This window comes from Homo sapiens, chromosome 11, assembly GCF_000001405.40.
Source record: "Homo sapiens chromosome 11, GRCh38.p14 Primary Assembly".
In the NCBI taxonomy this organism is placed as follows: Eukaryota; Metazoa; Chordata; class Mammalia; order Primates; family Hominidae; genus Homo; species Homo sapiens.
In genome coordinates, this window is record NC_000011.10 from 88281501 (window position 1) to 88282315 (window position 815).

Sequence of the window (815 nt, forward strand, 5' to 3'; positions counted from 1 at the left end):
ACATTTCAGAACTCACAGCACCACCTTCTGGGGGTAGTATTTGGGGCAATATTTGAAATATTTGATAACCAGTCATGTTACAACTGACTAGAAAATACCATTTTCACTCTTATTTACACCTATTCCATGGCCAGATTAGAAAAACGAAGAGGAAGTTTGTTAAAGCAGGCCACACAATCTCTAAATTCCAGGCGGCTAGAATTTCACACGGTCTGGGGAGGAATTAGTGGTCTGAACTGATTGTGCAGGTCCCTGTCTCCACCAGGAGGAAGGGGCATCATTTTCCCATTCCCATATTGGCACTCTGTGAGCTAGCAGAAGCCCTTGGAGATTGAAATATTACAATAAATAGGTCTGAGTTTCTCAGAACTGCCATGAAACTTCTAATATGTGAAAATGTCTGGAAAGTTATAGAGTGGAACTGAAATATCTTCAAGGGATACAGCCTTCCAAATAGATAATGTTCAAAGAACAATTGATAGTGGTTACTGAAAACTAATACAACTGTTTTGAGTTTACATCCCCCATATCTGAGATTCCACACTAAACAACTTATATAGGGATTTTGCATATTATTCAAATAGAAAGCTAGATTGTTCACAACTGTCACTCAACTTCACATATTCTTACCAGCTAAGATTTTCCTGAGTTTAAATTTTTGTAGCCTGTATTGTGGAAATCACAGATTTATTGAATGTGCATTTTCAGAATCACTATCCATATCCATCTTGAAATATTTTTGAGCTATGGGAAACCAGGTGAGCATTTTAAGCAGGAATGTGGCATTGTCACCACTGGTGTGGTAAGGACTGGAA